The 14,709-nt window shown below is 33.9% G+C and overlaps 1 protein-coding gene across 10 annotated transcripts in view; it reads left to right on the top strand.

Moving 5' to 3' along the window:
• The window catches only part of INTS6 (integrator complex subunit 6), a 118,632-nt gene that overhangs the window by 62,770 nt on the left and 41,153 nt on the right, over positions 1–14,709 (top strand). For 9 of the 10 annotated variants that reach the window (XR_007063673.1, XR_007063676.1, XR_007063675.1 and 6 more), the window contains 8 exons: positions 823–948; positions 2,727–2,881; positions 6,526–6,678; positions 6,806–6,938; positions 8,144–8,238; positions 10,695–10,805; positions 11,813–12,028; positions 14,093–14,219. Coding sequence is in view for 6 of the 10 variants with exons in the window: in XM_011535040.4 (XP_011533342.1) it covers positions 823–948; positions 2,727–2,881; positions 6,526–6,678; positions 6,806–6,938; positions 8,144–8,238; positions 10,695–10,805; positions 11,813–12,028; positions 14,093–14,219 (1,116 nt within the window). In the remaining 4 variants the exon portion in view is untranslated. Of the gene's footprint in view, positions 1–822; positions 949–2,726; positions 2,882–6,525; positions 6,679–6,805; positions 6,939–8,143; positions 8,239–10,694; positions 10,806–11,812; positions 12,029–14,092; positions 14,220–14,709 lie in introns of those variants that run through there. The other variant, XM_047430265.1, reaches the window with a different exon arrangement.

The following is a 14,709-nucleotide window of genomic DNA, read 5'->3' as shown; positions in this document are numbered from 1 at the left end:
TTTTACTTACTATACATTTCAATTCAGACTAGCTATATTTCAAGTTCTCAATAGCTACATGTGTCTAGTATATAAAGTATTGTATAGCAAAGGTCTAGATATTTTTGTTGAAAATTCCTCTTTAAAAGATCTTTTCACTGGTATCTTTTTAAAAAAATCACTAGTATTTAATGCTTCTGAACCAAAAGTAGTATAAGTTAAAACGTACAAAAGGGGAATTCACGTGAGACAGGTAATTCCCAAGTGTTTACATAAGCTAAGTGAAATTCAGAAAAGCACACGCTACCATCTGTATATTAAAATGCAAATATTTAAAATACTTAAAAACTGCCAGTAAACAAGTAGTTATTACATACCTACTATGTGCACAGTAAATCTTAGTGATAATACTTTTGTTAAGCAGGAATAAGATTTTGGGGAGACAGTTACTAGATGTGTGTGTGTATATGTGTTAAAGATAAATTGTATTGCATAACAGTTGGAGATAGTGTTTTTTATATATATGTTTTAAAAAACATAAAATATGTGACTTGTTTTCATGTGTTTTGTTCAGACCAAGAATTCTATGTTCCAAATACCTGTAATTAGAAGAAAAAATGTACATACTCTCACAAAATGGGATTGTTGGTTGGTTGGAAATAATGATTTTTGTGCATTCTTTCATAAGATAATGAAATTAGTCAACTTTTACCATTGAACTTTTGTTAATTAGTACTGTCAGAAACCCCACAGTTGTTTTTTTCTTGCTAATGATAGGAATTCTTGCAACTAACTAGTTTACTATATTCTTCTTCTTCTTCTTCTTCTTTTTTTTAATCTCAGGCCGTTCATATTCTGTGTGTTCTCCAAGAATGCTTAATCAGTGTCTGGAGTCCTTGGTGCAGAAAGTACAAAGTGGGGTGGTAATAAACTTTGAAAAAGCAGGACCAGATCCTTCCCCTGTAGAAGGTATTATTGCACTTTTCTTTTAGACATTCAAAACTTGCTTTATTGTTTATTCAACTAGAACTGAAAACTTACTGTGATTTGGCCTTAAGATAGGCAAGGCCAAATTATTAAGACAGAAAGGCTGTTGGTAAAGAGGGAAGATTAAATAGGAAAGTCAAGGTAAACTAATAGTAGTCTAGTAGCATCACCTTTTTGTATTAATGATTGTCTATTGCCTGACATTTTGATGAGTCAAAAGCCTTTTCAAAGATTTATCGATAAGCAACTTTATAATTTCTTTGTAGTATTATACAATTGCCTCTCAACATATATATGCTTCTCCTATGCCCTTTAATTCCCAAAGTGTTCAGTCCTAGATGTTTAACTCCTTAGCTACTTTTGTACCAGGGATCAAACTGATTGAAAGTAAATGGTTTATTGTGGGTCAAAAATGAGGAACCAGGCTTTGCCATTAAGCTTGATTCTTCTAACTCTAGCTGAGTCCCACCTGGCTTTTTCTTGGCTTCTGTAATCATGAACTATTTCCAATAGCCAGTGGATATAAGGAGTTATAGTAGAACCAATGGATGGTTTATAGTTGAGACCCTCTGCATTGTATGTTACCTATTTCAAGATTTAAGAGTCATTGCTGGGCACGGTGGCTCACACCTCTAATCCTAGCACTTTGGGAGGCCAAGGTGGGTGGATCACCTGAGGTTGGGAGTTTGAGACCAGCCTGACCAACACGGAGAAACTCCGTGTCTACTAAAAATACAAAATGAGCCAGGCGTGGTGGCGCATGCCTATGATCCCAGCTACTCGGGAGGCTGAGGCAGGAGAACTGCTTGAACCCGGGAGGTGGAGGTTGCGGTGAGTGGAGATCACACCATTGCACTCCAGCCTGGGCAACAAGAGTGAAACTCCATCTCAAAAAAAAAGAAAAACAAAAACAAAAACAAAAAAAAACAAAACACACACACACACAAAGATTTAGAGAATCATTTAATGATAATTGGCAGAGGTGGTCCACTAAAGTAGGTACCTGGGAGAAGAGAAAGATCATAGAGATGAAAGAATGGGGGCACTGAGAGGGTACTATAGGGAAGGAATGGGTGATAACAATAAGTTGTGTCATGTCTGCTTTAACGAAACCAAACTTAAAAAAATTTTAATTGTTACAGTGTATTTATTTTAAATTATTTTAATGCTTTGTTTAGAGTTTGTTACTAGTAAATGTTTACTGGATTGTTGAAGATAGTTGCTGTTTTGCTAAAATTATTTTAGATTAAAGGTAGGTGCTTTGGTCTAGATTTGCTTATTAAGTTCTTTTTTTAGGCTTCGGTTAAAATGATTTCTAAGAAATACTCAATTTGCAGTACTTATTTATTCTAGTATTTATTGTGTGCCTGGCACTGTTTTTGACATTTGGGATATGATGATAAAGGTGGCAAATTGGGTGCTTGCTCTTATCATCTGATGAAGAAAACATGCCATTCATCAAACAGATATTCACCGTAAAGTATGTTTTGTGTGTTCCAGTTGGGAAGGCAAAGGATGCTGCGGACCTCCTTTGAACTGGCGAACTCATAGTTGGAATTTGTACTTATTGTCTAATGAATTACAATCTAGTCTAAATATTCAGCAGACATAGTGTTCTGCCATTTAAGAAAAATAGGAAAACCTGGAAAAAGATATTAGGAATTTTTTATTAATTTAAGTAATAATTGATATAATTTAACTTTTTATGCTTATCCCCCCTTATGATATATGCTTTCTTTGTCTTAATTTCTTTGCTATAGATGGGCAGCCAGATATATCAAGGCCTTTTGGATCTCAGCCTTGGCATAGCTGTCACAAACTCATATATGTCAGACCAAATCCTAAAACTGGGGTTCCTATAGGTCATTGGCCTGTTCCAGAGTCTTTTTGGCCAGATCAAAATTCGCCAACACTAGTAAGTACCAGAGACTGTAACTATGTAATAGTAACCATTCAGCTGTCTTTCCTATTAGTTTCAAATTCTGTTGTCAAAGCTGTGATTAATTTATGGGGATTAGACAGATGTTCAAAGTGCTATGATACCCTGTTACTTGCTTTATTATGTTGCTTTGCTATGATAACCCTGTTACTTTGTTTATTATGAAGTAATAGAAAAAAGGCATCTCCTTCGTTTAGAATCTAATACTATGCTTGCGATTTTTATTCTTGGCTTCTGGGTTCAAAATTTCCTCTTTAGACTCTAAATGAGGATTTGTCTCTGGGACACAATTTAGGATTTAAATGAAGGCTTAGAAAATAATTTTGATAGTTTGCCTGCAATTTTTTAGGACTTAGTCTTAAATTCATATTGATATGTATGGTTTTAGTTATATACAGTGTTGCAGATTGGAGGTTTAAGCTAGAACAGATTTTCTGATTTTGTTTACCTGAATTATTTTTAGGAAAAATGAAGTTTGCTGAGCGATCATGGTGAATTATCAGTATTCATTATATAATTCTTAAAATAATAGGGTACATTTATACAAATTAATATCCATTTAGTCGTGTTAGTGTACTCTTTTTTTCCATATTTTTTTTCTAAGTATCTGAGGGCATTAAGGGATATTTTGTGGGAGAGCATGGCAGTGGTTCTCCTTGATTTTACCTTTAGAAAATAAGAATTGTATTTCAGAGATCATTAAGCAGTCTAATAATGTTTGATACAACAAAACCTTTTTGAAACCTTTTGTACTTCAAACCTGTATCAGCTTTTCAGGATAATTTTTATTTTGAGTTTATAAAGTGATATTTCCTTTATTCATTAGGGATTTAATAAAGTAGTGCATGAAGTTAAGGTTTTCTAAATTTCATTGAAGTATCTTCATTATACCTTTTCTTTTTTTCTGATAGAACCATCATAGTTTTTTAGTCTGGCTTTATGGAGAAACTTCCAATTTCTTTGGTCATTTTACTTTCTTTTCTGGAGCTCTTTCAACTCTTACAGAACAGATACCGTATTTGTATGAAATATTGTCATGTTGGTTATTTATTCTATTTATTTAACATGTACAGGAGAACATACAGTACCTGAGTTGTAATGGAAAGAAATCCAAAACCAGTATCAGAACCCTTATCTATTAATGCTGCTCTAGCAGTCTATCACAAATTCTTAGAAGCCATAGAGGGTAGGTAGGACTTCAATTGGAGAAGGAAATAGTATGAGAAAAAAAATATGGAAGTGAAAAAGAACAAGGTATGTTTAGAGGAGTAACAAGTAGCTGAGTACGGGTGGATCATAACATGTATATAGGACATTGAGAGTACTATTAAACTAACCAAATTGCTTATGACTTTAAATGCAGGGTTAAGGAATATTAGCTTTTAAACAGTGGAGTTCAAAGAGCAGTCGAAGATGTTTTTAACAGACATCTTTAGAAAAATTGATTTGGTGGTGGTTATATGCAGTAAAATTAGAAGGGGAGATGAGTTGAAAGGCAGGTAGGTTACCTATGAGGGCTATTGATATGGTTCACGTAAGAGATTTTAAGTGGTTGAATTATGATGATGGAAGAGAGAATAATAAATAATATTGGAAAGAACTGGCAAACTTTAGTAACTGAAGGATATTAGGGGAAGTGAAATTTTTATAAATTACAATATTGAAGAAATATTGCTACTGAAGTTAAGTGTAATTTACAAGATGTGAATTTGAATCACGGCACTATTAGTTATTAATTAGTACCTTTGGTTATCTTTTGTAAGCTTCAATTTCCCATCTGTTAAGTGGCTTATAGCTCCATCTCATAGGGTTGTTTTGGGAATTAAACAAAATCATATATGCAAAATTTTCTTGGCCAAGTTCTAGAGGATCTTTCCCTCCACTTTCCCTCTTGGATCTCCGTATTTTTATTCACAGAATAAGTGTGTTTTGTGGACTGATTCAATAAACTGTGTGTCAGGTGCATGCTAGGCACAGGAGCACAAGATGAGTAAAACAGTGCTTCCCCTCTGAACATTACCCATCTATGGGCATGTCAGACACGTACACATCATAGAGTACAGTGTGCCAACTGTAATGGAGGGGTGGGGCAGAGCCAGAGGAGGTGGGCCTGACAGCCTGGTGTGTTTTTGGAGTACAGAGTGGGAAGGGGTATGAGGGAAGAGGTCTTTTAGAGGTTGTTACATGCCAACTCATTTTTCTAAACTTTGTTTGCAATATGCAAGGGAGAAAATAAGTACTTGGCATGGCTGAAGTATGGAGTCTGTATGGCGTGGTGGTGGGAAGGCAGATAGGGACCAGATCACTGAAGATCTTTATATGTGATATTAAGTGTCTAGACCCTATTTTTAGGTGATTGGCTGTTACTTTTACCGAACAGTTTTAGATAGGGAAATTATATGATCCTATTTATATTTCACTGCCATGGATTGATCAGACAGGGACTGATTAGAAACTAAACAAAGCAAAAAGCATTTGTACTAGTCTAATCTGAGAAATGATGAAGGCCCAAATTAAAGTGGTAAGAAATAGAAGATAACATTTCTAGAGAGATGAGAGTTTAGTATTGACAGAAGGCAGCAACTAGTAATGACTACCTACCATGTTTATGTGTTCTGGTAAGTGCCTTAGAATTTGTGATATCAGTTTATCCAGGTCTTTGTGACAGTTAAATATGGAGGATGAGGGGAAGATATCAAGAATAACGGCTAGGTTTTTAGAACAGGTTTTGTAGCTTGGGGGAGAAGAAACAAATTGTACATATTGTGTCTGAGGAACCTGTGGAAGATTCAGGTTATGTCTAGTGGGTAGTTAGATACAGCAGAGAAATAGGAGCCATCTGGCCCCAACAGTAGATTTGTGAACCACCAGGGTATAAGCAGTAACTGAGGCCAATAGAGTCCTTTATAGCTATGACATTTAAAATTATTTCCTCATAGCTCATTTTGTTCACAATTTGTGAGATTTTTAGGAAGAGGACTATTAAGAGGTAGATTGGGGAGTAACATGCCTTTTTAAAAAAAGTATTACTTTTTTATACCTCTAGAACAGGGGTTTCTAAAATAAGGGTGTGTATCCTATAGAGTTTACCAAAATGATTGCTGGAATAGGGAAGGAAACATTAGAAGTTCTATTTATGGTTATTTTTCTCCTATTTTCATACCATTTTGGTATATATTTTGTTATGTACATCTACATTTATAATTTGTATAATTAGAAATATATAGTGTGTTCAAAAACTGATCAAGATCTATGATTACTTTGGAAGTCGCTACTCTCTATAAGTAATTGCTACAAATGAAGACTTGTGAGAGTTTCTATATACATTTCTAATTTTTTGGATGTAAAAATTAATGAATACTCAATTACTAAATTTTGCGTAAGACCTAAAAATATTTTCATTTCTATAGATTTTCAAGTGTTTATCTTTTTGTTGTGAATATTACATAACTTTAGCATTACATTTTCAAGTGTTTCCTTTCAGCTTAATGTTGCTTTTAGCAGTAAATCAAACTCTTACTAGCAAGACGGAGGAACTGAGTAAATTTTGATAATGAGGAATATTTAGTTTTGTTTCTGAAATTTCATGTAAGTAGTAATTACAAGACTTTCCCCTTTAGCCACCTCGTACATCTCATCCTGTAGTGAAGTTTTCCTGTACAGACTGTGAACCAATGGTTATTGATAAACTTCCTTTTGACAAATATGAGTTGGAACCTTCACCACTGACTCAATTTATCCTGGAAAGGAAATCTCCTCAAACATGTTGGCAGGTAAGCTGAACAACTTACAGTGACCCCAAAATTTAAATGAGGCATTTCTTAAAAAGCTGAATTGAATCAATGGTTTATGTAACATTCTTTAAAGGTTATTAAAGTTTTAACCGCTCCTTTTTAACAGGTGTACGTGAGCAATAGTGCAAAATACAGTGAACTTGGTCATCCTTTTGGTTACTTGAAAGCCAGTACAGCACTGAACTGTGTCAACTTATTTGTGATGCCTTACAATTATCCAGTCCTTCTTCCCCTCTTAGGTAAGTCATTCTTGTCACTTTCTCCTTGGCTTAGCATATAAAAGTTCTCCTAAAGCGCATTTCTTTGTAGTTTTTCTTGTCTTCTGGAAATCAATGAAAATATTTTGAATATTCTAAAATGTTGAACATCTTTAAGAAAATATAACAATCTGTTCGTGTTTACAGTAAATTAAAAGATGATATTGAAACACTTTTTAGTCTGCAATTTAATAAAGGTATTTTTTTTTGCGGGGGGGTGGGGGAGGGAGGGGACGGAGTCTCGCTCTGTCACCCAGGCTGGAGTGCAGTGGCGTATTCTCAGCTCACTGCAACCTCCGTCTCCCAGGTTCAAGCGATTCTCCTGCCTCAGCCTCCCTCCCAAGTAGCTGGGACTACAGGCATACACCATCATGCCTAGCTAAGTTTTTTATTTTTAGTAGAGACAGGGTTTCACCATGTTGACCAGGCTGGTCTTGAACTCCTGATCTCAGGTGATCCGCCCGCCTTGGCCTCCCAAAGTGCTGGGATTACAGGCATGGGCCACTGTGCCCGGCCAAAGATATTACATTTTAAATTTTTTAATTAAATATTCTAACTTTTCTGCAAGTTAGATTTCTAACAGTTAGAATTGGTAATGTAGGCTTTCTGTTTGAAATGAGACATTTTGTAGAAACATAGTATAGTTAACAAGATCTGAGTGCATTTTCTAAGAATTTATCTACACTTTAATTTTCATTTGGCAAATATTTTTTAAATAAAGGAATTTGTTCCAAAATAATTTGATAAAAGCCTAAAGTTAGTTTCTGGGTACAATCTAGCTATCATTTTTGAGGAGTGCTGTTGGAGAAAACTTACCTTCCATGAAATCACATTAAATTTAAAAGTTATAGTCAAAATATTAGTACGTATATTTTATAGAAAACATTGTGCATGCTTTGTTTCTGTCTTCAAATCTGCTTTGTGTCTAGGTCTAGGGAGGGCATAGATTTTCCTTGTGTGTTTTCTGATTCTAACTTAATTCCTGCATGTACTTTTAGACCATAATTGGCATCTTTTCATTTTATAGAAAATGACAAAACCGTAAATCTTACTTTCATGTTAAAAAACGTCTGATGTTACTCTCTCAAAAATAACAAAGCAGACTTTAAAAAGGAAACGTCTTTGACTTGACTTCTATGTGTGAAAATAATGAGTAGTGATAGTTTGTTCACATTATACGTTTCTAGATGACTTGTTTAAAGTGCATAAAGCAAAACCAACATTGAAGTGGAGACAGTCATTTGAAAGTTATTTGAAGACAATGCCTCCCTACTATCTTGGGGTAAGAATATTATTTAAAAGAACTTGTTGGCCGGGCGCAGTGACTCACGCCTGTAATCCCAGCACTTTGGGAGGCCGAGGCGGGTGGATCATGAGGTCAGGAGATCAAGACCAGCCTGGCCAACATGGTGAAACCCCGTTTCTACTAAAAATACAAAAATTAGCTGGGCGTGGTGGCGGGCGCCTGTAATCCCAGCTACTCGGGAGGCTGAGGCAGGAGAATCGCTTGAAACCGGAAGGCAGAGGTTGCAATGAGCCAAGATTGTGCCACTGCACTCCATCCAGCCTGGGCAACAAGAGCGAAACACCGTCTCCAAAAAAAAAAAAACAAAAAACTTGTTAATTATATTATGCTTATGGTTTATTGTGGGTATTATAAACTTTTATTTATTGCTTTTATAGATTAAATGACATGAAAATTGAGCATACAGATGACCACTATAGGTATAAAGGTAAAGAGAGGTTTCAGTGATTTGCAGAGTAGTGATGATGATCATGATCATGAGAACATTTATGTACTGCTTACGTAGGCCAGGTACTGTCCTAAGCAACATCATTAATTTATACAGTTACCCTATGAGGTAGAAATGATTATTGGTTCTGTTACATAGATGAGGAAACTAAGGCATTAAAAATTAAATAATTTGCACAAGGCTACATAGCTAATATGTGAGGGGATGAGGAGCCTGAAATTCAGTCTGGCTTAGATTTAGGCTTTTAACCTCGAGTGTTGTACTACCTTTTAAAATTACAGTTTTATGATTATAGTTGTCTCTCAGTATCTGTGAGGGATTGGCTCCAGGCTCACCTGTGGACACCAAAAGTCACAGATGCTCAAGTCCCTCATATAAAATGGCATAGTATTTGCATATAACCTACACACATTCTCTTGTATACTTTAAACCATTTCTAGGTTACTTAATATGTATATACTTTTATACTGTATTGTTTAAGGAATAATGTCAAGGAAAAAAGAGTCTGTATATATGTTCAGTACAGATGCAACGATCCATTTTTTTTTCCTAACGTTTTCAGTCTGTGGTTGATTGAATTCACAGAATACGGAATCCATAGATATGTAGGGCCGACTATATTTATTTTTAAGGGTGCACAATAGTTTTTGTTGTATTATTTCCCAAATCTCTAGAAACACTTTGTAAGGTGGATAAGTGTATATTCTTATAGAACCATATGCTTTAGAGGACTTGATTACTTCAAAATAGTGTATCATAGTAGGTAAAACCAATAATGTGCATTTTATTAAATACATGATTTAGTTTGTGAAAGATAACTTTTTAACAAAAGTACTTAAAATCACTTATGTATTCTGTTTTGATGCAGGAATATTATAGCATTTGGCTATAAATAATCTTTCTAAATCATCCCTAATATAATTAGGAGATTAATTTCTTGAGCTTTAAAAATCATGACATTTTATAGTTCTAACAGATAAGTTGTGTTGAATGTCTAGCACACAGTGCCTGGCAAGTAGAAGGACAAAAAAGAACAAACACTTCGAACAGGAACTGTTACATATGTTGACTCATTTACGTTTCATAGCAACCCTGAAGATTTAGCCAAGCCAGATAGGTGTTAAATATCAGGGCTGGGATTTGATTTCAGTTTGACACCAGTGCTTATACACTTTCTAATATGTCAATGATTATCATCCTTTTTCTGGCTCTATCCGATTCACAAATGCTAGACACTCTTGCTAGTGATATTTTTCATCGTATAAAGTACTTCTCAGTCTCTCCTTACAATTGAAAGTTTTTTTTAACTTTCAACTACCACATCCATAATAAATATTAGATTGTTTTTTCCTCCTGCTTATGTTTCCTTCAGAGCTTTTTTTCAGCTCAGCATATGATAATAATAGTAATGATTAATAATTTGTACCCAATGGTTTTATAAAGTGCTTTATGTGTATTAACTCATTTAATCCCATGACAACCCTGTAAGAGTAGGTATTGTTATTATCCCCATTTTACAAATGAGAAACTAAGCCACAGAGAGCCAGAGAGCTTATTTATAATCTGATCTAGAATCATATAACTAGTGAGTGGTTGAGCAGCTAATTACTCAAAAGTAGAAATCTTGCATTTTCCTTGAGTGTTTTTCACTTACTACCCATGTTTTATCAGAGCTACCTCTAGAATGTGTCTTCTGTCCATTTATTCCAAACCTAGTTTCTCCCAGTGGTACCAAGGAAGACCAGTATCTTATCCTTCTTGTCTTGGGGAGTTATTATGGCCTCTAATCCTTTTTAACTACTTCAAACGGCCTTTCATCCCACTGACAAACATTTTACTGAAACATAAATACGATTGTGTTACTTCCTTATTGAGGAAAAGAAGGGGAAATAATTTTTTGGAGAAAATTTTAAGACAGACTATACATGGAACCATAAGTTTTTAATAAGCTTAATATTGAATGATGTTTTCTTTTTTCCTATAGCCCTTGAAGAAAGCTGTTAGGATGATGGGAGCACCTAACCTAATAGCAGACAGTATGGAATATGGACTTAGTTACAGTGTCATTTCATACCTCAAAAAACTGAGTCAACAGGTAATATCAAGAAATAGAGTGAGCCATTAAGTATTTTGAATGGTTTTGGCTAGGATGGTTAAACAGGTTAAAAGCTAGTTCTTGATGGTTCTAATGGAATTCCATTATATTAATATATTACATTTTAGAGCCATATATTACATAATTCTGTCTCACATCCATGGTGTGCTATGTTTTGAAACATTAATTTGAAAATTATATAATAATTCCTAATTTATGAAAATGGCTTCATGAGTGTGGTCCTAGACTTGCTATATGTGAACATTATTTATCTTTTGAGAAATTTAGATTAGAAAGTCATTTTTCCTTAAAAAAGAAAAAAAAAACTCTTTATGTTTTGAAACCTGCAGATTTTTCTTTCAGAATGGGAGTTTCTTTGAAATGTTTGTAGAAAACACTGAATTTTGTCATTCTGGCCATAAGTCACATTAATAAATACTATAGTAGTCAAGCAGTATATAGTTTAACTGACTGTGAAATTATTAATGTCCTATGAAATACATTATTTCTCCAGTACTTCTGACATTGCTACCTTAACTACAAATCAAAAGGCAGTTTGGGAGGAGTCAAAACATTGCTTCTTGCTTTCCAGGGAAGAACTGCATAATTATTTGCCATATTGATGTGCTAGTAAAAATGTCTTACATAATGATGATTTTAAAAAAATAATTTACCGTCACCCCTGAATTGGGAATACACATTTTTGTTTAGTGTGCATTTATATTTCATGGTTTAGGTATAGTGGGTATTAATAAATAAAATAATAAATTGAAATTGTGTTTGTCCTGCTCCAAAAGTTTAGAGTTGTAATGATTTAAAATCATAAGACATTGTTGTTTAAACTATGTTTAATTTACCCAATACTTGACATAAACTATGCTACTTGAGTTTTTAACTTCTTATATACTTAAAAAATATATATTTAATTTATAGAAGATCATAACCATTAGTATCTGATTTATTAATTTAGATTTTATCAAGATAATTCTGACTTATTTTTACTTTAGGCCAAAATAGAATCTGATCGAGTCATTGGATCTGTAGGCAAAAAAGTAGTACAGGAGACTGGAATAAAAGTCCGGAGCCGATCACATGGTTTATCAATGGCATATAGGAAAGATTTTCAACAACTCCTCCAGGGAATTTCAGAGGATGTCCCTCACAGACTGCTAGACCTTAATATGAAGGAATACACTGGGTTCCAAGTTGCTTTGCTGAATAAGGTAATAATCATGAATTTAGTGCTACTCTAGTTATGTTCTGTTATGTTACTGGATAAATCACATTTTCTGTTAACTCTGACATTCAGTTTATCCAGACTTTAAAGAGTACTTCTGTACTCTTGTAGACTAATGATCATTATACTGTCACTGCTAGAATTAAAACAGTGTACATGGTGTGTGAATGAATGGATAGATTGATGAAGAGTAAACTAACTTGTTTATTTTATAGATGAGAAAACAGAGGTTTAGAAATTGCTTTAAGTTGCAGTAGTGGATGGTAGAATTCACTATAGTTTTGTACTTAAACTGATGACCCTATTAGACCCACAGCATGATCCAAAAATGCTTTGTGAGTACTCATGGTTACAGATATCTTTATCCCAGCAGCCTTTTTGTAGAAATAGGCAAGCTGATTCTAAAATTTATATGGAAATGTAAAGGTCCTGGAATAGCCAAAACAATTTTAGAAGAATAAAGTTGGAAGACTTATATCATCTGATTTTAAAACTTATTGTAAAACTTACTACAGTGATCCATGCAGTGTGGTGCCATCATAAGGATAAACATAGGAGATTAGTGGAACAGAATTGAGTCTAGATGTAGGCCCTCACACACACAGTCAATTCTTAACAAAGATATTAAAATAAGGTAGTGGATAAGAAGACAGTCTTTTAAACAAATGGAACAATTGGATATCCATATGCAAAATAATGAATTTGACCATTACCTCATATTATTTGAAGTGGTCGTGATCTTAAATGTAAGAACAAAAACTATAAACTTCTAGAAGAAAACATAGGAAAAAATCTTTGTGATGTTGAGTTAGCAAAGATTTCTAAAAGCACATAGCAAAAATGTTGATAAATTGAATTTCATTAAAATAAAAAATAAACTTTGCTCTTTAAAAGAAACATTAAAAATGAAGAGGGAAGCTACAGCTTGGGAGAAAAGCACATATCAAATAAAGGACTTGTATCAAAATATATAAAGAATTCATATAACTCAATAATAAAAGGACAAACATGGGCAAAATATTTGAACAGACATTTCACCAAAGAAAATATGCAAATACAAATAAGAACATGAAGTAACACTCAGCCTTATCAGCCATTAGGGAAATGCAAATTAAAACCATAACGAGATACTACTTCATAACTGCTAGAATGAATAAAATTTAAAAGACAAAAAATACAGGGATTGATGAGAATGTGGAGCAACCCTCCTAACATTACTGATAGAAAATAGTTGATATTTTCTTAAGAAGTGTAAACATAAATTTGCTGTACAATCAGTCATTCTACTTGTAGGCTTAGCATGCCAACATGGCAGCATTTTTCATAATAGCCAAAAACTTGTAACAGTCCAAGTGCCCATCAGCTGGTGAATAGATAAAGAAGATGTGGTGTGTCCATATAATAGACTACTACTCTGGAATAAAAAGGAACAAACTACTGATACATGAATAATGTCAATGAATCTCAAAAACATCATGCTAATTGAAAGAAGCCAAGTACAAAAGATTAGACGTTGCAAAATTCCATTTATAAAATGGAGCATAGAAAGAAAGCAAGTCACGTGGTTGCCTGGGGATAGGAATAGTGATTGACTGCAAGTGGGTACAACAAACTTGGGGATGGTGGAAATGGATTATGATGATGGTTTCACAACTATAAATTTACTAACATTCATCAAACTATATACTTAAAATAGGTGATTTTATGGTATATAAATTACACATCAAAGCTGTTTTTTAAAAAACTTCAGTTTTTAAAATTTGGAGATTGATTTTTACTTAAATGAGTTTACTTCTTTTATCCAGAATATATAATAAAATCTTTAGAGTTAGATGGTGAATTGAGATTGTTTGGTTGAGCTCACTACCAAATTTTCATCTTTTGGCCCTGAACCGGTACATTAAGATTATATCATATGTCTTTATTTTATTTTTTTTAAGCTAACCAGTTTATATATCTTATTTCCAAACCTATGCTGCAGGCTAGAGATTTTAGTCTCTTGTAATTCTATGTTTGACAATAAATTTTGTCCTCGAATGTTGTTTAATAGGATTTGAAGCCACAGACATTTAGAAATGCTTATGACATACCAAGACGAAATCTTTTGGATCACTTAACAAGAATGAGATCTAATCTTTTGAAGAGCACTCGCAGATTTCTGAAAGGACAGGACGAAGGTTAGAACATAGTTTCAATACTGGTATTTTTAATTTTTTTTCTTTATAGTCTGAAAAAGCATAGCATGGTGATGTAAATTTCAAAGAATTATTACAGTACTATAACATTCTTATTGTAAGTTCAAACAAATGAAGTAAAAGGTGAATCATCCCTGATTCTGTACCTTTCTTCCTACCATCACTGTTGCCCCAAATTCTCTTCCCTAGAGGTAACAACCTTTCTTAACAGTTTAGTTTCCTTTTATAGCTTTTCTCATGCATTCATGCGCGCACGCGCGCGCACACACACACACACACACACACACACACACACCCACTTATCAAACTGTATACTTAAAATAAGTGATTTTTCTTATCTCAATCATTTTCTTGAGATAATACCAGTATCTGATGGTTTAACTCTGGATGGCCAGTTTCATGACATTTTCTGATAATTCCTTCTTCACCTTTATCCATGGCACCTACTATAAATCAAGTCAGATGAGACTTT

This window comes from Homo sapiens, chromosome 13 (assembly GCF_000001405.40).
Source record: "Homo sapiens chromosome 13, GRCh38.p14 Primary Assembly".
Classification (NCBI taxonomy): Eukaryota; Metazoa; Chordata; class Mammalia; order Primates; family Hominidae; genus Homo; species Homo sapiens.
The sequence above is the reverse complement of the archived record's forward strand: the minus strand, read 5'-3'. Positions and strand labels throughout refer to the sequence as shown.